The following is a 21312-nucleotide window of genomic DNA, read 5'->3' as shown; positions in this document are numbered from 1 at the left end:
AGGGATGGAGGAGGGGAAATGGTAGTAAGAGACTAATGGGGTGATTTAAATGTTCTGGAATTAGATTGTGGTAATGGTTGCATGCACAGCTCTGAACATACTAAAAACCATTGAATTGTATGCTTTGAATTAACTGTATGGCATATGAATTCTATTGCAATAAAGCCATTTCAAAAATGCTTAGAACAGTGCTCAGTATATATTTCACAATCCATTAATATTATCTATTGTAAAATGTAACAGGCATCCACTCTTATCTTTCTCCAATGTGTCTGAGTCTGAACCCAGAATATGGGCTCCTGATTTACCTACATTTATATTTGCACATTGTGCAATTGGCCCATTACAAGGTGATTCATTGTAGCATTGTTTGTAATAGAAAAAAATTGGAAACAACTTAAAAGTTCATAAATGAGGGAAGTGCTTAAATAAATTATGGTACATTCATTCACAAGAATACTAAGTAGTCATTAAACACAGAAGAATGAGGAAGGTTTAATCAATGTCTTCAGAAGGTTTTTTCTGACTGTGCCACACCATCCCTTGAAGGATCTTTGTAAACATAAGTCTGACTCATTTGTTGCCCTGCTTAACATCTCCCACAGTGTGGTAAACTGAAAAATGTTCCCCAAAAGATACCCATGTCCTAATCTCTGGAAAGTGTACATGTTACCTTAGACAGTGAAAAGTGGAGTGGGGGTGGTATTTTGTGCAGGTAATTAAGGATCTTAAAATAGATTATGCACAATTATCCAGGTGAGCCATAAATGCAATCATGTATATCCTTATAAGAGGGAAGCAGAGGGAGATTTGACACCAACAGAAGAGGAGAAGGCACTGTGACCACAGAGGCAGAGATGGGAGTGATGCAGCCACAAGCCAAGGAATGCCAGTAGCCACTAGAAGCTGGAAGAGGCAAGGAAAGGATTCTCCCCTAGAGCCTCCAGAGGGAGCATAGTCCTGCCAATAGCTTGTTTTCAGCATTTCTGGCCTCCAGAACTGTGAGAGAATCCATTTCTGTTGCCACCAAATTTCTGATATGTAACAGCAGCTGCAGGAAACTAATGCCCATGTTCCCTACCACCTACAGATAAATTGCTGCTGACTTCTCAGCAACACATACCTTCCTCTTTGGGTTCATCTCTCTCCTTTCTCTCACATACTCCAGGCTCCAGGCATAGGAGACTGTAGTTCCTGAACTCATTGTGTTCCCTACCTTGTCCTGGAAAACACCTACTCTTTTCCATCCTTGTCCCTTTCCCTTCCCCTAACACACAGTTCTCTCAAGTCACCTTATTCTTACCTCCACCATAACACTTAGCACAATATGCTCCATTTGTTCACATTAGGGTCCCTATGGGGCATAGATCTTATTTGTCTTTCCATCCCCAGTGCCAAGCACAGTGCCTGGAACGTATAGTAGGTGCTAAATAAATAGTAACCTACTCTAGTCATTGGCCAGGCGCGGTGGCTCATGCCTGTAATCCCAGCAGTTTGGGAGGCTGAGGCAGGTGGATCAGGAGGTCAGGAGTTTGAGACCAGCCTGTCCAACATGGTGAAACCCTGTCTCTACTAAAAATACAAAAAAATTAGCCGGGCATGGTGGCAGTCGCCTATAATCCCAGATACTCTGGAGGCTGAGGCAGGAGAATCACTTGAACCTGGGAGGCAGAGTTGCAGTGAGCCGAGATCGCCCCATTGCCCTCCAGCCTGGGCAACAAGAGCGAAACTCCGTCTCAAATAAATGAATAAATAAATAACCTACTCTAGTCACTGGTCACATTCTCATTCCCCACTGTGCAATGCAGATGCAAACAAGTCCTCAAGGCTGAGTGATGTACTCCCTCACAGCCTTTCTGTACCTCTGTTTTGCCAGGATGAACAAACAGGAAGCTTTAGATGAAATTTTATGTGCGCTCTATTAAATTTCACCCTCCTCTCAGCAAAAGCTAAACACAAAAAAAGTTCTTACAAAGTCTCTTAGAAGTGTGTGTGCAAGGAAGCTCTAAGGAGTTAGCTTCCAAGGAATAGGAAGTAAGGCAGTTCTCTGAGCATTATTAATGCATGAAATTAACACAGAATTCATCAGGGTGGACATATTCCTACTTGGTTATTAAGAAAAAGCCCTTAGAAAATCATGATTGAATACCTTAATGTATCTAGAATAGGAAAAGGAGAAGGAAAGGAAGGCCATTCCTCAAACTGGTTAATCCTAGGGGCTAGGAAAAGGAGACTCCTAAGGCAGTGTTGGCAAAGCCCATTTAAGCACAGCACAGGTCAGACATAGTTCTGGTGTCTGAGTCCCACATGAAGCAGGTTTATCCTTATCACAATTGTAAGAGCCTAGGCCACCATGCAAATCCTGAACTTTCTTCCTTTTTTTTTTTTTTTGAGATGGAGTCTCATTCTGTCACCCAGGCTGGAGTGCAGTGGCACGATCTCGGCTCACTCCAACCTCCACCTCCCAGCTTCAAGCGATTCTCCTGCCTCAGCTTCCCAAGTAGCTGGAACTACAGGTGTGCACTACAACACCCAGCTAATTTTTGTATTTTTTTAATAGAGACGGGGTTTCACTATATGTTGGCCAGGCTGGTCTTGAACTCCTGACCTCAGGTGATCCGCCCACCTCGGCCTCCCAAAGTGCTGGGATTACGGGCATGAGCCACCGCATCCAGCGTATTCTTTTATTTTGATTTCTTACATACCAAGAAGGCTTCTCCATTATAAAATCTGCTGCTCCCAGGAAGATGTCAGTCTTCTGAATGGTCACAATTCAGACCTTGAAGCCGTGAAGCCAAGAGACAGATCTTTGAAGGACACTTAGGGTTGTGCCATTCTGTGGATATTTGTAGGGGCAGCCAGGCCTCCCCTCTACTTCCAGTGGGTATTCTTGCCTTTTCTTCAGTCTTCCACATGAAGTAAATAAATGAAGTAGAAACCCTAGCTGAACCAATCAGGACAGTGCCTCTTGTTCTATTTTGGCATCACAGACCCTTTTGAGAGTATGATTGTCATGGAGCCTCTCCCCACCTGCCCCTGTGGGGAAAAGTGGCCCACACTACCAGCAGTGTCATATATGCCAGGCGTTCTGCCATGACTATGGGCCCTTGGTTGAAAACCCCAGGTTTAGAGAAAAACATTCAGATACACACCACCAGCCTTATGTATCGCTCCAAGCCCTAGATTGCTTTGTGTGTTCACCTGATTTTAGTGGTGGAGTAAGAGTTTAAATGATTTTTCCAAAGTCCCTTTGAGGGAGAGGCATGACCATTTAAAGGTAGGAAAGGAAGCTGAAAAGTAACTGTTTGATGTCAGTATTCTCATGGCCCCATGGCTTCTTTATCAATTACAATATAGCTGGCTGATAAACGAACTGTTGTATAGACAGGGATGAAAGAAACCATTTAAATCCAGGAGTGTTCAGAATTGCAGATAATAAGACTCTCCCAGTCATCACTGCAGGGAAGTAACTTTGCAATACATGAATGTTGTAAGGAGGGCTCTGATGCCCCACCTCATACCTGCTTGCCCGTGTACCAGCAATAGACATGAATCCCCGTGTACCAGCAATAGACATGAAGTTTGATATGCTTTGGCTCTGTGTCCCCACCCAAATGTCATCTGGAATTATAATCCCCACGTGTCAGGGGAAGGGCCTAGTGGGTGGTGATTGCATCACGTGGGTGGTTTCCCTTACACTGTTCTCACGATAGTGAGTTCTCATGAGATCTGATGGTTTAAAAGTGTGTGGCAGTTTCTCCTTCACTCTTTCTCCCTGACACCATGTGAAGAAGGTCCTTGGTTCCCGTTCACTTTCCATCATGATTGTAAGTTTCCTGAGGCCTCCCTAACTGTGCAGAACTGTAAGTAAATTACAATTAAGCCTTTTTTCTTCAAAAATTACCCAGTCTCAGGAGGTTCTTTATAGCAGTGTGAAAACAGACAGTCGTTTCTCTCCTCACGCCCTGCCGTGTGTGTGTGTGTGTGTGTGTGTGTGTGTGTGTGTGTGTGTGTGTGTAGGGGTGGGGGTTTCGGGGGGGAGCGCGGGGAGGATAGCAGAAAATGGCTTACAGAGAGAAATCCCCCCTCCCTCTGTCTCTGTACAGGGAAGCTGTTTTCTCCTTCCTTCCATCTTTCTTGACTGTTGAACTTTTCACTCCTTAAAACTACTCCACGTGTGTCCATGTTGTTTTATCAAAATTGGTGCGAGACTAAGGACCCTGGTGTTCGAACACTCCAGTCATCAGAGCTGTTTCAGTATTGGGAAGGGGGATCCAGCCATCAACCTGGAGCCAAACCCCAACCAACGAGATGCGACTATAAATGGGACACTCTGGGGCACGTTCCACAAGGTTCTGCAGAAGTCTCCAGCAAGATTAAGCCCCTTTTGACCACAGCTGCAATCCCCACATTCATGACCACGCCTTCTTTGCCTTTTCTTCCTGTCTCCCTTTCCCACTTTCTCACCTGTTCTTCCTGAGATTGCCTGTCAAACTGCCTGCCTGCCTCCCGATGCTTGTCTCAGGGTACATTTTGAAGGAAACCCAAACCAAGACGGGGTAGTATTTGCTGTAATGGGCTTTTATTTCTATCTTAGACAAATTCAGGTCTCAGAAAAACCTGGCACTTGTAAACCAAAAATAAAATTCTAAGGCCCTCCAACCATCAGAATGGGCCCCTCCTCTTGGCCCAGAGCATTCCAAAGTTAACCTGAAAATCTAGTTCAGGCCACAACAGGATGGTGGGGTCGAACATGCCTCAGTATGCCCTCCTGCCTTTTGGAATTCAGGAAAAGCTGACTAGTATTAACATCAATACAGACCTTAAGTCTGATAAAAGACATCTGCAATGTATTCTCTCTGAAGCCTCCTACTTGGAGGCTTCATCTGCAATATAAAGTCTTGGTCTCTATAACCCCTTTAGGGAAACCAGACATTTCTTTCTATTGATAAAACTCTTTCAACCAATTGCCCATCAGAAAATTTTTAAATTTACCTATGACTTGGAAGCCCCACTTCGAGTTGTCTTGCCCTTCCAGATCAAACCAGTGTAAATGTTACAAGTGTTGACTGTTGTATTATGTCTCCCTAAAATATATAAAAGCAAGCTGTGCCCCAGCCACCTTGGGCACATGCCATCACGACCTCTTGAGGCTGTGTCACAGGCGTATCCTTAACCTTGGCAAAATAAACTTTCTAAATTGATTGAGACCTGTCTCAGATACGTTTGTAGGTTCACACACTGTAACACTAATCCAGACTTAAAACCCACATGGGCATTTTCTCTGCCAGTGCCCTGCTACGGTTTGAATATGTCATATCCCCCAAAAATCACGTGTTAGAAACTCAATCCCCATACAACAGTATTAAGAGATGGGATCTTTATGAGATTATTAGGCCATGAGGACTCTGCCCTCATGAATATATTAATGCTATTATCACAGGAGTGGATCCCTTATAGAAAGACCAGTTCAGTCTCCTTTTCTCTCCCCTGCCCTCTGCCTTTTGTCATGGAATGACGCAGCTAAAAGGCCTTTGACAGATACTGGCCCATTGATCTTGAACTTCCCAGTTCCAGAACTGTGAGCCAATAAATTTCTGTTCATTTTAAATTACCCAGTCTACGGTATTCTGTTATAGGAGCACAAAACAGACTATGACATGCCATAAATACAACATACGTAGGAAAACACACATATCTAAAGATTTTATTATTATTATTATTATTTAGAGACAGGGTCTTGCTATGTTGCTCAGCCAAGTCTCAAACTCCTGGCCTCAAGCAACCCTTTCACCTCAACTTCCCAAGTGGTGGGGATTACAGGTATAAGCCACTGTACCTAGCTCTATCTAAAGATTTTTTACTGAAGAGTATCAATCTGAAATAATCAAAAGGATCAGGATCCAGTTTTAAAGAGCTTATTCAAGAGAAGCTGAAAGCCATTCCTGGATGCGCCCCTTCAGAGAAATGAGTTTAGTGCTTTGAAGTCAAAAGCTAAATTTTTTCTTATATAGGAAAAAGACAAATTTAACAAGATTACAACATTTTCTATACAAAACTGATTTATGAGTTATAACAAATTAATTAGTTACAGTTTGTTTCCATGTAGCTTGTTTTCTTTTCCTTATAACTGGTTTTTCATTTCCTTTCCAATTTTAAAGAGTGTATTTAACATTCCATCTTAAGCCATATGATAGCCTAGAAATCTTTGTGTCAGAAAGGTAAGAGGGGGGTCAATGTATAATGAAAGTCTACAGTTAGAGGGAAGGGGGTCCTCCCTGGCACCCTTCAACCATTTACATTTTATGAAACAATGCATGTAAGGGAAAAGGCTTAATTTGTTATTAAACAAAAGCTTATAGCTTATAGCTGCCTAGTCTACAGCCTGTCAATGACTCAGGCCCTGAAATTCTCATTCCTTTAAGGCTCAGAATAATTTAGCATTCCAATAGCTTAGACTTTGAATTACTTATTTCCACAAGAGGACACCTGTAGGCAGGATTTCCACAAGCACTACCTGACCCTTTATTTATAACGCAACTCAAGAAGGCCCTGGCCTGGCACAGTGGCTCGTGCCTGTAATCCCAGCACTTTAGGAGGCTGGGGCGGGCAGATTGCTTGAGCCCAGGTGTTCCAGACCAGCCTGGGAAATACAGGGAGACACTGTCTCTACAAAAATAAAAATAGAAATAAGCCAGGCATGGTGGCACGGGCCTGCAATCTCAGCTACGTGGGAGGCTGAGGCAGGAGGATCACTTGAACCCAGGAGGTAGGGGTTGCAGTGAGCTGAGATCATGCCACTGCACTACAGTCTGGGCAACAGAGTGAGACCTTGTCTCCAAAAAAAAAAAAAAAAGGCTGGGCATGGCAGCTCACGCCTATAATTCCAGCACTTTAGGAGGCTGAGGTGGGCAAACTGCCTAAGGTCAAGAGTCTGAGACCAGCCTGGCCAACATAGTGAAACCCTGTCTCTACCAAAAATACAAAAATTAGCCAGGCATGGTGGCGCATGCCTGTAATCCCAGCTACTCAGGAGGCTGAGGCAGGAGAATCTCTTGAACCCAGGAGATGGAGGTTGCATTGAGCCGAGATCACACTAATGCACTCCAGCCTGAGACTCCATCTCAAAAAAAAAAAAAAAAAAAGGAAGGCCCTAAGACAACAGGCTTCATGCCTCACATTTATAAAGAATATCAAGTCCTCCAGACAGCTAAGTTTGCTAAGTTTGTGATGATACGAAAAATTAGGGAAAGATTTTCCTATTTTGTGAATCACTGAGGGAAGCTATGTGGTTAAGTACATAAGGAAAAAAACTAGACTATTTCTAGTTTCTGGAAGCGGCATTATCTGTAACCTTGTTTTGATCGTCTTAATAACAATCCTTTAAATGTTAATGTGAGAAATGACTAATAAACAATTATTAAAAATGAGGCTTTAATTTGCCTTATTTGCATAACACTGATTGCTCCATTGGTTATCCCCTCTCCTGAATCACCAATCTGATTATTAGGCTATTCCCATAGACATGACTGTCCCCACAAATCCCTAGCTACCAGCCTGTTTCTTTTAAAGCAATTTTGTTGAGAGATCTATCTTCATATTTCATTTTCAAAGTCCAGTCTGGCTTCTGCTGTCATCACTCCCCCAAAACTGTATAAAATTAGCAATATCAGGCTAGGAGTGGTGGCTCACGCCTGTAATCCCAGCACTTTGGGAAGCTGAGGCGGACAGATCATTTAAGCCCAGGAGTTCAAAACCAGCCTAGACAACATGGCGAAAACCCGTTGCTGCAAAAAATACAAAAAAATTAACTGGACATGGGGGTGTGCGCCTGTAGTCCCAGCTACCAAGGAGGCTGAGGTGGGAGGATCACTTGAGCCCGGGGAGGTTGAGGCTGCAGTGAGCTGTGATCATGCCACTACACTCCAGCCTGGGCAATAGAGCAAGGCCACGCCTTAACAAAAAGAAAAAAAAATCAGCAATATCTCTGTGCTGCCAATAAAAACTCCTGTCATCTTACTATTAATAGTTCCCTTAACAGCATTCAATTCAGATGCCAACTCCTTCCTAGAAACATTCTTCTCTTCCCTTGGCTTCTATGTTACTGTACTCTCCTGGTTTCTACATTGGCTATTCCTTCTTGTCTCTTGATCTCCAAGTGTTGTTCAGGGATCAGGAATCCCTCCAAGGCCTTCGTTATTTCTTTTTCTTTTTTTTTTTTTTTATTTTTTATTTTTATTTTATTTTATTTTATTTTTTTTGAGACGGAGTCTCGCTCTGTCACCCACGCCTGGAGTGCAGTGGCGCGATCTCGGCTCACTGCAAGCTCCACCTCCCGGGTTCACGCCATTCTCTTGCCTCAGCCTCATGAGTTGCTGGGACTACAGGCGCCCACCACCACAGCGGGCTAATTTTTTGTATTTTTTAGTAGAGACAGGGTTTCACCGTGTTAGCCAGGATGGTTTCAATCTCCTGACCTCGAGATCCGCCCGCCTCGGCCTCCCAAAGTGCTGGGATTACAGGCATGAGCCACTGTGCCCAGCCTGCTTCTTTTTCTTTTTAGTTTTTTTCAAGTTTCAGATACTAATTAATCAATATAATCTCCAATCCAATATATCAACATGATTTCATGCATTTAGAGGAGAAATATTTCCTGATTAAGTGGAAAATTGTGCAGATGGCTTCTGGAAGACCTTCATTCTAAAGCAGCTTTATAGGGAAACATTTAGAAATCTGGACCTTCTTTCCTCAGTATGCTGTAATCCACATTCACTGGGTAGAACTCGTATGGATCATTGGGACCCAGTTTGTTTCAGGGTTCTGGGTTATGCTTTCCGTCTCAACTAACATCTGGATTGAACAATGCCAGACACAAGACACACAGTGCTGCTCCAGTACCTTCAGCTCCAATAAACACAAAGAGGGGATCAAGCTCAGATGCTTCTTAGTCTGACCGAGGATCTGGTGGAGCATGTTTGTAGCATTTGAAAGGAAAGAAACTCTTCATTTCTTTGTCAACATTCTTTAAGTGATTTCATTCATTTATATGACTTTAAAAGTTACCTATATTGGTGATAATCCTCAATTTCTTTCTTTAGTTCAGGTATCTCTTGAGCTACAGATTCAGTTACCCATCGAACTACACATTAGGCCGGGTGTGGTGGCTCACGCCTGTAATCTCTGCACTTGGGAGGCCAAGGCGGGCAGATCATGTGAAGCCAGAAGTTGAAGACCAGCCTGGCCAACATGGTGAAACCCTGCCTCTACTGAAAATACAAAAATTAGCTGGGCATGATGGTGTGTACCTGTAGTCCCAGCTACTCAGGAGGCTGAGGCAGGAGAATGGCTTGAACCCAGGAGGCAGAGGTTGCAGTGAGCCAAGATTGTGCCACTTCACTCCAGCCTGGGCAACAGAGTGAGACTCTGTCTCAAAAAAAAAAAAAAAAGAAAAAGAAAAAAAGAAAAAAAAAAGAAACTACACATTAAACATTTTCATTTGGATGTCTCAGGCATTCCAAACTTAACATGGTCAAGAGGAGTTTTAATTCCTCCAAACTTGTCCCTCCTTTCTGTCTTCAACACATTACGTAGCACCAATAGCCTCCTAATTGGTCAAGACCAAAACTTAAACATCCTCCTTCATTCTTCCATTTCCTTCACTCCTAATGTTGAATTCATAAGGAAATCCAATAAATTCAATCTTCAAAATATTCTTTGAGTCACTCTTCCTCATATCCACTACCACAGCTCTAGATCACACAGCATCATCACTCCCATTGCCTACTGAAACAGCCTCCTAAGTTGACTGCTACTCCTCTAAATACCTTCAATCCATTCCCCATCTAGCGGCTAACATGAATTGAAAATGTCAGATCTCTTGCCCCCTATGCTTAACTTTTCATTATTTCTTATTGCATCAAAATAAAATCTATCCTTCTTAAATGTGGACTACAAAATGCTGCATAATCTAACCCTAGCCAGTCTCTTCAGTCTCATCTTGTGCTCAAGCAATACACCTCTCTCCGCTTCCATAAATATGCCAATCTTTTCATTGACTGTTCTCCATTGTTTCCTCTCTTACAAACTCTTCCCACCCCAAATATATCCCATGACTAAGTTATTTTTATGTTCAGGATTCAGCTTAAATAGCATGCCCTCAGTATAGTGCCCAGACTACCTCTTATTATTTATTATTATTATTATTTCAGGATGGGAACTCACTCTGTTGCCCAGGCTCGAGTGCAGTGGCATGATCACTGCTCACTGAAGCCTCAACCTCTAGGACTCAAACAATCTCCCACCTCAGCCTCCCAAGTATCTGGGACAACAGACATGTGCCACCATTCCTGGCTACTGTTTTTTATCTTTTGTAGAGATGAGGTCTCCCTATGTTTCCTAGGCTGGTCTCAAACTCCTGGGCTCAAGCGATCCTCCCACCTCAGCCTCCCAAAGTGCTGGGATTATGGGCATGAGGCATGGTGCCCAGCCTTCTTCTTCTTCTTTCAATTGTTCTTCAAATTCTTTTTTGTTCTTAAATTCATGTTTATTAAAGTATAGTTACATATAAAGAAATTTGCCTTTTTTAGGTATACAATTCAATGAGTTCTGACAAACCTATATGGTCAAGTAAGTACCACCACAATAAAAATTTAGCATAGTCCATCACACCTAAAATTTCCCTCAGGTCCTTTCATATTCAATACTTCCCCCCTCTTGAAACAATTGATCTGATTTCTGCCAATGATTTTGCCTTTCCAGAATGTCATTGCGATGATGAATTTTATGTGTGAACTTGACTAGGCCACAGGGTGCCCAGATATTTGGTCAAACACTATTCTGGGTATATCTGTGAGGGGGTTTCTGAATGAGATTAACATTTGCATTGGTAAACTGAGTAAAGACTACAAATTAGACTACCCTCCCTGATGTGGGTGGGTCTTGTCCAATCCACTGAATGCCTGAATAGATCAGAAAGGCCAAGTAAAGGGAACATCTCCCGCCTGACTGCCTTGAGCAAGGACATCAATCTTTTGCTTCCTTTGAACTTGAACTGAAACAATGGCTCTTCTTGGGTCTCAAGCCTGCTAGCTTTTGAACTGGAACTGACACCATTGGCTCTCCTGATTCTCAGGCCTTCAGACTTGCACTGGAACTGTACCACAGGTTCTCCCAGATCTCCACTTTGCCGACTGCATGTCTGGGAACTTCTCAGCATCCATAATCACATGATCTAACTCTTTACAATAAATCTATTTAGATAGATGGATGGGTGACTGGATAGATAGGTAGAAAGGTAGGTAAGTAGTTATATAGGCAGGCAGGCAGACAGAGACAGAGATTAGATAGATAGATAGATAGATAGATAGATAGATAGATAGATAGAATAGATTGGATAGATTGGATAGAATAGATGATAGAATAGATTATAGATTAGATAAATAGAATAGATTATAGAATAGATAGAATAGATGGTAGATAGATAGATAGATAGATTGCTCTTTCTTTCTTTACGTAGCTCCAAGTTTCTGACCTATATCATTTTTCTTTTCTCTGAGAAACTTTTAACATTTATTGTAAGGCAGATCTACTGGCAACAAACTTCTTCAGTTTTTGTTTGTCTGAGAAAGTCTGTACTTCTCCTTCACCTCTGAAGAATCATTTCACAGGACACAGAATTCTAGGTTGGTAATCTTTTTCTCTCAACACTAAATTTCACTGACCTCCTTGCTTGCATGTTACTGAGGAGAAGTTGGGTATAATTTTTATCTTTTTTCCCCTGTAGGTAAGGTGTCTTTTTCCTCTGACTTTTTAAAGACTTTTAAAATATAGGACTTTTAAAATATGGTATTCCTAGGTGTCATGTTTTTTTGTGGTGATGATTGTGGTTATTGTTGTCTTGACATTTATCCTGTGTGGTGTTCTCTGAGCTTCCTGAATCTGTGATTTGATATCTGACATTAATTTGCAAAAATTCTCAGTCATTATTGCTTCAAGTATTTCTTCTGTTGTTTTATTTATTTCTTCTCCTTCTGGTATTTTCTTTTTTACTTTTCTTTTTTGAGATGAAATCTCGCTCTGTCGCCCAGACTGGAGTGCAGTGGCATAATCTCGGCTCACTGCAACCTCTGCCTACAGATGTGAGCCACCGCGCCTGGCCTCCTTCTGGTATTTTCTTTTCTATTTTTATTTTTATTATGATATGGAGTCTCACTGTGTTGCCCAGGCTGGAGTGCAGTGGCACGGTCTTGGCTCACTGCAACCTCCGCCTCCCAGGCTCAAGCGATTCTCCTGCCTCAGCCTCCCGAGTAGCTGAGATTACAGGCACCCGCCACCACACCTGGCTAATTTTTGTATTTTTATTAAAGACAGGGTTTCACCATGTTGGCCAGGCTGGTCTCGAACTCCTGACATCAGGTGATCCACCCACCTCAGCCTCCCAAAGTGCTGGGATTACAGGTGTGAGCCACTGTGCCTAGCCCTTGTGATATTTTCATTCCACTTATGTAATACTTATTCTAGTTGTCCCATCATTCTTGGATTTTCTGTTGGGATTTTTTTTTTTCAATCTTTTTTTTCTTTTTGCTCTTCCATTTTGGAAGTTTCTATTGAGATACACTCAAGTTCAGAGATTGTTTTCTCAGCCATGTCCAATCTATTAATAGACCCATCAAAAGCATTCTTCATTTCTGCTGCAGTGTTTTTATTTCTGGCATTATGTTTATGCTTAGAATTTCCATCTCTCTGTTCACCCATTGCCCATCTGTTCTTGCAGGCTGTCTACTTTATTCACTAGAGTCTTTAGCATATGAATCAGTTGTTTTAAGTACATGGTCTGACCATTTCAACATCCCTGTCATATATGAATCTGGTTCTGAGGATTGCTCTGTCTCTTAAAACTGTGGAGTTTTTGTTCTGTTTTGCCTTTTAGTCTGCCTTGTAGTTTTTTTTCTTGATACCTGAACGTGATGTACGTAAAAGGGGCTATAGTAAAAAGGCCTTTAGTAATGTGTGGGAAGATGTGTGGGAAGGAAAGGTATTTTATAGTCCTATGATTAGGTCTCAGTCTTTTTTTAAAGTCTTTTCATTTTTATTGCTCAAAAAAGTTTCTTTCTTTCCTTTTTTTTTTTGAGAAGGAGTCTCGCTCTGTCGTCCAGGCTGGAATGCAGGGCTCATTGCAACCTCTACCTCCCGTGTTCAAGCGATTCTCCTGCCTCAGCCTCCCAAGTAGCGGAGATTACAGGTGCATGCCACCATGCCCAGCTAATTTTTGTATTTTTAGTAGAGACAGGGTTTCACCATGTTGGTCAGGCTGGTCTCGAACTCCTGACCTCATGATCTGCCCGCCTCGGCCTCCCAAAGTGCTGGGATTACAGGTGTGAGCCACCACTCCCAGCAACAGTTTCATTTTTTATTTAGCTTTTTGACTCTGTGCTTGTGCCTTCAACACTTTCACAACAATTTTCTGCTCCTCGATAAGGAAAGCATGCTTGATCCTGTCATGAACACATTTAGCACAAATGGAACCACCATATTCCCTGCTGACATGTTTTTTTGTTTTGGACAATTTCATAAGAACTTTAGGTCTCACAGCACGAACCCCTCAAAGTCTGCCTGGGCACATGCCACATGCAGATTTTGGTGCTTTCCCAACCTTCTTGGTATAAAAGTAAACAATTCTATTACCTGGGGTTTGGGACAGCCTAGTTTTGTTAGAGGCTATATTGTAGGAAAGCCTACGATGGTATATCAAATGCTGGACCATTCTGAGTGCCTGTAAACAACATCAGCAAAAGAGGAAGAAGAAAGTCTTTGTGAGTTCAAAGGTCGAATAGGATTCAGTCTCAGTCTTTTAATGAGCCTGTGCCTCTGGACTGTGAACTTCACAAGTGCTTCTCCGTACCTCCCTCCCCACCATTGGGTGGAACAGGATAGCTAGAGCTGACTGGAGTTGGATATTTCTCTTCCCCCAATCAGTAAGACTCTGAAAAAACTTTACTAGATTAGGCTCTAGTAAAACAGTTTCTCTCAAGGGCAGGCCTTGTTAACAAGAGAAAGCTCTGGCATATTTGAAAATGGTTATTTGTCCCCTTCCCCTGATGAAATCCCAAAGGGATTTTTGGCCAGTCTTTACTGTGAGAACCTGATTGAGTGCCTGGAGGTAAAACTCAGAGAAGTGTGGCGGTTGCCCTATGACTGGGTCCCCCTGGAGTTTTTATTTATTTGTTTTATTTTATTTTTTGAGATGGAGTCTCACTCTGTTGCCCAGGCTGGAGTGCAATGGTGTGACCTTGGCTCACTGCAACCTCTGCCTCCTGGGTTCAAGTGATTCTCATGCCTTAGTCTCCCAAGTAGCTGAAATTACAGGCGCATGCTACCACACCTGGCTAATTTTTGTATTTTTAGTAAAGATGGGGTTTTGCCATGTTGGCCAGGCTGGTTTCGAACTCCTGAATTCAGGTGATCTGCCTGTCTTGGGCTCCAAAGTGCTGGGATTACAGACATGAGCCACCACATCTGGCCCCCTTGGAGTTTTTAATCTCAAACTTGTCCACACTGAGCCTCCAGCTATTTGTCAAGCACAATTTAGATTTTCCTACCCTGGCACTAGTGCCCACGGAGGTTTTTGCTTCTGAGTTCCTGCTCCATTAAGTTGTAATTCTCTGTATTTGCCTGTCTCTTCAATTTTGGGAGTAGCATTTTGCCCTGTAACGTCACTTTTCTGAGGGATCCAAGAAGAGTTGTGTCTTCACTTTGTCCAGCATTTTCCTTATTGTCAAGATGGAATGATGACTTCCAAGCTCCTTACATGGACCTTCGCTTCATTATTTTCTTGCTCATTTACTCCCTGACCAGAAGTTGGCTATAATTCTTATGTGTTTCTTTCTCTGTATATAATGTTTCTTTTTCCTCCAACTGTCTTTGAGAGATTAACTCTTATCTTTGGTTTCAGCAGTTTGACTTACAATGTGGAATTTCTGGAATTCTGGGACCTGTGAGTTACTGTTCTTCATTAACTTTGGAAAATTCTTGGCCATTATCTCTACTGATACATTTTTTTCTTTCTTTTTATTTTATTATTATTATTTTTTTTTGAGATGGAGTCTCACTCTATTGGCAGGCTGGAGTGCAGTGGTGCAATCTCGGCTCACTGCAACCTCTGCCTCCCGGATTCAAGCAATTCTCCTGCCTCAGGCTCCCGAGTAGCTGGGACTACAGGTGCGTGCCACCACGCCTGGCTAATTTTTGTATTTTTAGTAGAGACGGGGTTTCACCATGTTGGCCAGGATGGTCTTGATCTCTTGACCTCGTGATCCGCCCGCCTCGGCCTCCCAAAGTGCTGGGATTACAGGCGTGAGCCACCGCGCCCGGCCTCTACTGATATTTCTTATCCCGCAGTCCATTTCTGTTTTCTCTTGGACTTTAATTACATATGGGTGTATGTCTTTTTTTGTACTTTGGTTTATTGTGCTTCACAGATATTGCATTGATTATATCTGTATGGTGATCTGTGATGAGTGATCCTTGATGTTACTATTGTTAACTGTTGGGGGATATCAACAATTCTGCCTATATAAGACAATGAGCTTAATCGATAAATGTAGTGTGTGCTGTGACTGGTCCATTGACCTTCCATTGTCCCATCTCTCTCCCTCTCCTCAGGCCTTTCTGTTCCCTGAGACACAACAATATTGAAATTAGGCCAGTTAATAACCTACAATGGCTCTCCCTCTCCCTCTCCCTCTCCCTCTCCCCACGGTCTCCCTCTCCCTCTCTTTCCACGGTCTCCCTCTGATGCCGAGCCGAAGCTGGACTGTACTGCCGCCATCTCCGCTCACTGCAACCTCCCTGCCTGATTCTCCTGCCTCAGCCTGCCGAGTGCCTGCGATTGCAGGCGCGCGCCGCCACGCCTGACTGGTTTTCGTATTTTTTTGGTGGAGACGGGGTTTCGCTGTGTTGGCCGGGCTGGTCTCCAGCTCCTAACCACGAGTGATCTGCCAGCCTCGGCCTCCCGAGGTGCCGGGATTGCAGACGGAGTCTCGTTCACTCAGTGCTCAATGTTGCCCAGGCTGGAGTGCAGTGGCGTGATCTCGGCTCGCTACAACCTCCACCTCTCAGCCGCCTGCCTTGGCCTCCCAAAGTGCCGAGATTGCAGCCTCTGCCTGGCCGCCACCCCATCTGGGAAGTGAAGAGCATCTCTGCCTGGCCACCCATCGTCTGGGGTGTGAGGAGCCCCTCTGCCCGGCTGCCCAGTCTGGGAAGTGAGGAGCGCCTCTTCCTGGCCGCCATCTCGTCTAGGAAGTGAGGAGCGTCTCTGCCCAGCCGCCCATCGTCTGAGATGTGGGGAGCGCCTCTGCCCCGCCGCCCCGTCTGGGATGTGAGGAGCACCTCTGCCCGGCGACGACCCTGTCTGGGATGTGAGGAGCCCCTCCGCCGGGCAGCCGCCCCGTCTGAGAAGTGAGGAGCCCCTCCGCCCGGCAGCCGCCCCGTCTGAGAAGTGAGGAGCCCCTCCGCCCGGCAGCCGCCCCATCTGAGAAGTGAGGAGCCCCTCCGCCCGGCAGCCGCCCGTCTGGGAAGTGAGGAGCGTCCCCACCCAGCCAGCCGCCCCGTCCGGGAGGTGGGGGGCGCCTCTGCCCGGCTGCCCCTTCTGGGAAGTGAGGAGCCCCTCTGCCCGGCCGCCACCCCGTCTGGGAGGTGTACCCAACAGCTCATTGAGAACGGGCCATGATGACGATGGCAGTTTTGTCGAATAGAAAAGGGGGAAATGCGGGGAAAAGATAGAGAAATCAGATTGTTGCTGTGGCTGTGTAGAAAGAAGTAGACATAGGAGACTCCATTTTGTTCTGTACTAAGAAAAAATCTTCTGCCTTGGGATGCTGTTGATCTATGACCTTACCCCCAACCCAGTGCTCTCTGAAACATGTGCTGTGTCCACTCAGGGTTAAATGGATTAAGGGCGGTGCAAGATGTGCTTTGTTAAACAGATGCTTGAAGGCAGCATGCTCATTAAGAGTCATCACCACTCCCTAATCTCAACTACCCGGGGACACAAACACTGCGGAAGGCCGCAGGGTCCTCTGCCTAGGAAAACCAGAGACCTTTGTTCACTTGTTTATCTGCTGACCTTCCCTCCACTATTGTCCTATGACCCTGCCAAATCCCTCTCTGCGAGAAACACCCAAGAATGATCAATAAAAAAATAAATAAAATAAAATAAAATAAAATAAAATAATAAAAAAGAAAATATGGTGTCCTGAAAATGCTATGTGTATGAGTGAGAATTGAGTTATTTTGAAGTGGTTTTTGAGTATTTCCTTATGAAAGTCAAATAAGGGAAATAATTCAGTAATAAAAAAATTTATTTCCATGCTTAAAAAAAAAAATAACCTACAATGACCTCTAAGTGTTCAAGTGAAAGGAAGAGTCCCATGTCTTTCACTTTAAATCAAAGGCTAGAAATGATTAAGCTTAGTAAGGAAGGCATGATAGGATGAAAGCCAGACATCTTGTACGAGTTAGCCAGGTTGTGAATGCAAAGGAAAAGCTCTTGAAGGAAATGAAAAGTGCTACTCCAGTGAATACATAAATGATAATAAAGCAAAACAGCCTTACTGCTGATACTGAGAAAGTTTCATTTACCATTCTCAAAATCCTAGAGCTGAGAATTATGATCAGTTGCTACCACCTGTGCTCTACAACAAAGCCTGGATAACAGCACATCTCTTTACAGCCTCGCTCACTAAATATTTTAAGCCCAGTATTGAGACCTACTGTTCAGAAAAAAAGATTCTTTTCAAAATATCACTGCTCATTGACAATGTAGCTGGTCAACCAAGAGCTGTGATAGAGATGTACAAGGAGATGAATGCTGTGTTTTCATGCCTGCTGACACAATATACAATCTGCAGCCCATGGATCAAAGAGTCATTTCAACTTTCAAGTCTTATTTCTTAAGAAATACATTTCATAAGGCTATAGCTGCCATAGATAGTGATTCCTCTCATGGAACCAGGCAAAGTCAATTGAAAACTTTCTGGAAAGGATTAACCATTCCAGATGCCAATTTGTGATTCATGGAAGGAGGTCAAAATGTCAACATTTTAACAGGAGTTTGGAAGAAGTTGATTCCAACCCTTGTGGATGACTTTGAGAGGTTCAGGACTTCAGTGGAGGAAGTCACTGCAGATGGGGTGGAAATAGCAAGAGAACTAGAATTAGAAGCAGAGCCTAAAGGTGTGACAGAATTATTGCAAATTCATGACAAAACTTTAACAGGATGAGGAGTTGCTTCTTATGGATGAACAAAGAAAGTGGTTTCTTGAGATGGAATCTACTGTTGAAGATACCGTAAGCATTGTTGAAATGGCAACAAAGGATTAGAATATTACATATACTTAGTTACTTAGCTGATAAAGTAGTGGCAGGATCTAAGAGGGTTGAATGTCTTTTTTTTTTTTTTTTTTGAGACGGAGTTTCACTCCTGTTGCCCAGACTGGAGTGCAATGGTGTGATCTCTGCTCACCGCAACCTCCGCCTCCCAGGTTCACATGATTCTCCTGCCTCAGTCTCCCGAGTAGCGGGGATTACAGGCATGTGCCACCATACCCAGCTAATTTTGTATTTTTAGTAGAGACAGGGTTTCTCCATGTTGGTCAGGCTGGTCTTGAACTCCCAACCTCAGGTGATCCGCCCACCTCGGCCTCCCAAAATGCTGGGATTGCAGGTGTGAGCCACCACACCTGGCCGTTGATGTCTTATTTTAAGAAATTGCCACAGCCATCATCAGTCAGCAGCCATCAACTCAAAGCAAGGTCCTCTACCAGCAAAAATACTGCTACTTGCTGAAGGGTCAGATGATTATTAGCATTTTGTTTTAATAAAGCATTTTTAAATTAAGATACGTATGTTGTTTTTCTTTAGACATAATGCTATTGCACACTTAATAGACTATGGTATAGTGTAAACATAACTTTCATATGCACTCGTTAACAAAAAAATTCATGTGACTTGCTTTATTTGTTTTATGGCAGTGGTCTGGAGCCACACTGTAATATTTTCAAGGTTTGCCTGTACATCAGACTATTTGATCTTGCTCCACAGTTCTTGGATGCTCTGTCCTGTTTCCCCACCACTACTCTCTTTTGCTTTGTCTGTTTAGATACTTGCTATTGACCTCTTTTCAAGTTCATGAATTCTTCAGCTGTATCAAGTTTGAAGAAATCCGCTATCTCTGATATTGTAGACTTTTTTTTTTTTTTTGACACAGAGTCTTGCTCTGTTGCCCAGGCAGGAGTGCAGTGGCACGATCTCAGCTCACTGCAACCTCTGCCTCCCGAGTTCAAGCAATTCTCATGCCTCAGCCTCCCGAGTAGCTGGGATTATAGGTATGTGCTACCACGCCTGGCTAATTTTTTGTATTTCTAGTAGAGCTGGGGTTTCCCCATGTTAGACAGGCTGGTCTCAAACTCCTGGTCTCAAGTGATCTACCTGCCTCGGCCTCCCAAAGTGCTGGGCTTACAGGTGTGAACCACAGTGCCTGGCCAAGCTTTTTATGTGTATATATCTGGTGTTTCCATTTTGCCCTTTTTTACCCACTTCTCTGCTGAAATTCACTATCTGTTTGTTATTTCCCACCTTTTCCACCAGATATGTTAATATATTAACTGATTGTCTTAAGGTCTGCTAGTCCCAACCTCTGTTTCATTTCTGAATTGGATTTTGTTGGTTTTTGATTGAATGCCAGACTCATGTGTATAACAGAAGGAATAAGGTAGATTGTGTTACACCTGGAAATGCACACACTTCTGTCAAACTGATATAGTTTGGATGTCTGTCCCTTCCAAATCTCATGTTGAAATGTGATTCTCAATGTTGGAAGCAGGGCCTGGTAAGAGGTGTTTGGGTCATGGGAGGGATCCCTCATGAGCAGATTAGTGCCCTCTTTGGGGTAATGAGTTCTTCATTAGTTCACGTGAAAGCTGGTTTTTTAAAAAGAGCTTGGGCCAGGCACGGTGGCTCATGCCTATAATCCCAGCACTTTGGGAGGCCGAGGTGGGTGGATCACTTGAGGTTAGGCATTCGAGACCAGCCTGGCCAACATGGTGAAACCCCATCTCTACTAAAAATACAAAAATTAGCTGGGCTTGGTGGCGCATGCCTGTAATCCCAGCTACTCAGGAGGCTGAGGCAGGAGAATCGTTTGAACCCAGGAGGCAGAGGCTGCAGTGAGCTGAGATGGTGCCACTGCACTCCAGCCTGGGCGACAGGCTGAGATGCTATCTCAGTAAATAAATAAATAAATAAAATAGATAAATAAATAAAAAGAACTTGGCATCTCTCTTGCTCCTGCTCTTGTCATGTGACACATCAGCTCCCCTTTCCTTCTGCCGCAAGTAAAAGCTTCCTGAGGCCTAACCAGAAGCAAATGCTGGCACCATGTTTCTTGTATAATCTGCAGAACCATGAGCCAAAATAAACCTCTTGTCTATAAATTATCCAGCCTCAGGTATTCCTTTGTAGCAATGCAAAATGGACTAACACAGAGACCATTAGTTTGGAAATTGTGTCAATGTAGACACCAGTTTTTAGGGGTTTGGGTTGGATTAATGCTGTCACTATCTTCAGTATACTACAGGCTTCAAATTCTTCCAGTGGTTGACTGCTGTTACCTTATGCTTACAGTGCACCTGGAGTACAGGAGGACTTTTCTGAGTCCCACCCTCAATTTTCAGGGATCCCTGTATGCCTACACCACAGAGAGGATCTATATTTACACCCTTGCTGCTTCCTCAACAGACTGGTTTTCCTTGTTACTTAGTGCTAGGCTTATAGCAGAGACAGGGGGTTTTTTGTCCTTGGCTAGCCTCGGTCTTAGGCAGGCTTTGTGTGCCTGGCCTTCAGGGATGTGGCTTTCTCAACATTCCTGCACCATTTCTCAATAGTAGTCAAAATCTGTTTCAAATCTATTGTTGGTCTTGTGCAACAATTTCATGCTCATTCCCCACTGGGAGCAGACCTCTTTATGTTATCCATGTGGCTTCCTGGGCCCAGATTTTCTGCCTATCCTCCAAGGTCAATTTTTGCTTCTACTCTTCCAGCAGTAATATTGTTTTCCTGTGTCCTGAAGGCAGAACATTTCCTACCTCTCTCTCAAAAGCAGATGGGTTTTGTCTACATTCCTACCCCAGAGCAATGAATTTCTGCCTGGGCCCTAGGAATGATTGTTGTTCCTCCCTACAATAGCCTAAGGCTTTTGCATCATTCAAGAGAAGAGCTTGAAAGCAGGCAGAATTTCATGGCAGCCAACTACCTTCT

The 21312-nt window shown here is 43.6% G+C and overlaps 2 pseudogenes, besides 2 other annotated features; both read right to left on the bottom strand.

Annotated features, from left to right (window-relative positions):
- Positions 5401-5568: a transcriptional cis regulatory region, noted in NCBI's record as "candidate enhancer chr1.9777 targeted for multiplex CRISPR interference". NCBI's record gives its function as "positively regulates MPC2 gene expression in K562 cells {active_cell/tissue: K562}" and the evidence as "EXISTENCE:mutant phenotype evidence [ECO:0000015][PMID:30612741]".
- On the bottom strand, positions 8726-8973 carry LOC107985453 (cytochrome c oxidase subunit NDUFA4-like; annotated as a pseudogene).
- On the bottom strand, positions 13395-13812 carry RPL34P1 (ribosomal protein L34 pseudogene 1; annotated as a pseudogene).
- Positions 15611-16203: an enhancer, noted in NCBI's record as "H3K27ac hESC enhancer chr1:168177413-168178005 (GRCh37/hg19 assembly coordinates)". NCBI's record gives its function as "activates a minimal SCP1, AML or CMV promoter by ChIP-STARR-seq in primed H9 embryonic stem cells {active_cell/tissue: H9 hESC(primed)}" and the evidence as "EXISTENCE:reporter gene assay evidence [ECO:0000049][PMID:30033119]".

Source organism: Homo sapiens, chromosome 1 (genome assembly GCF_000001405.40).
Source record: "Homo sapiens chromosome 1, GRCh38.p14 Primary Assembly".
Lineage (NCBI taxonomy): Eukaryota > Metazoa > Chordata > Mammalia > Primates > Hominidae > Homo > Homo sapiens.
This window is presented reverse-complemented; position numbering and strand designations above follow the sequence as displayed.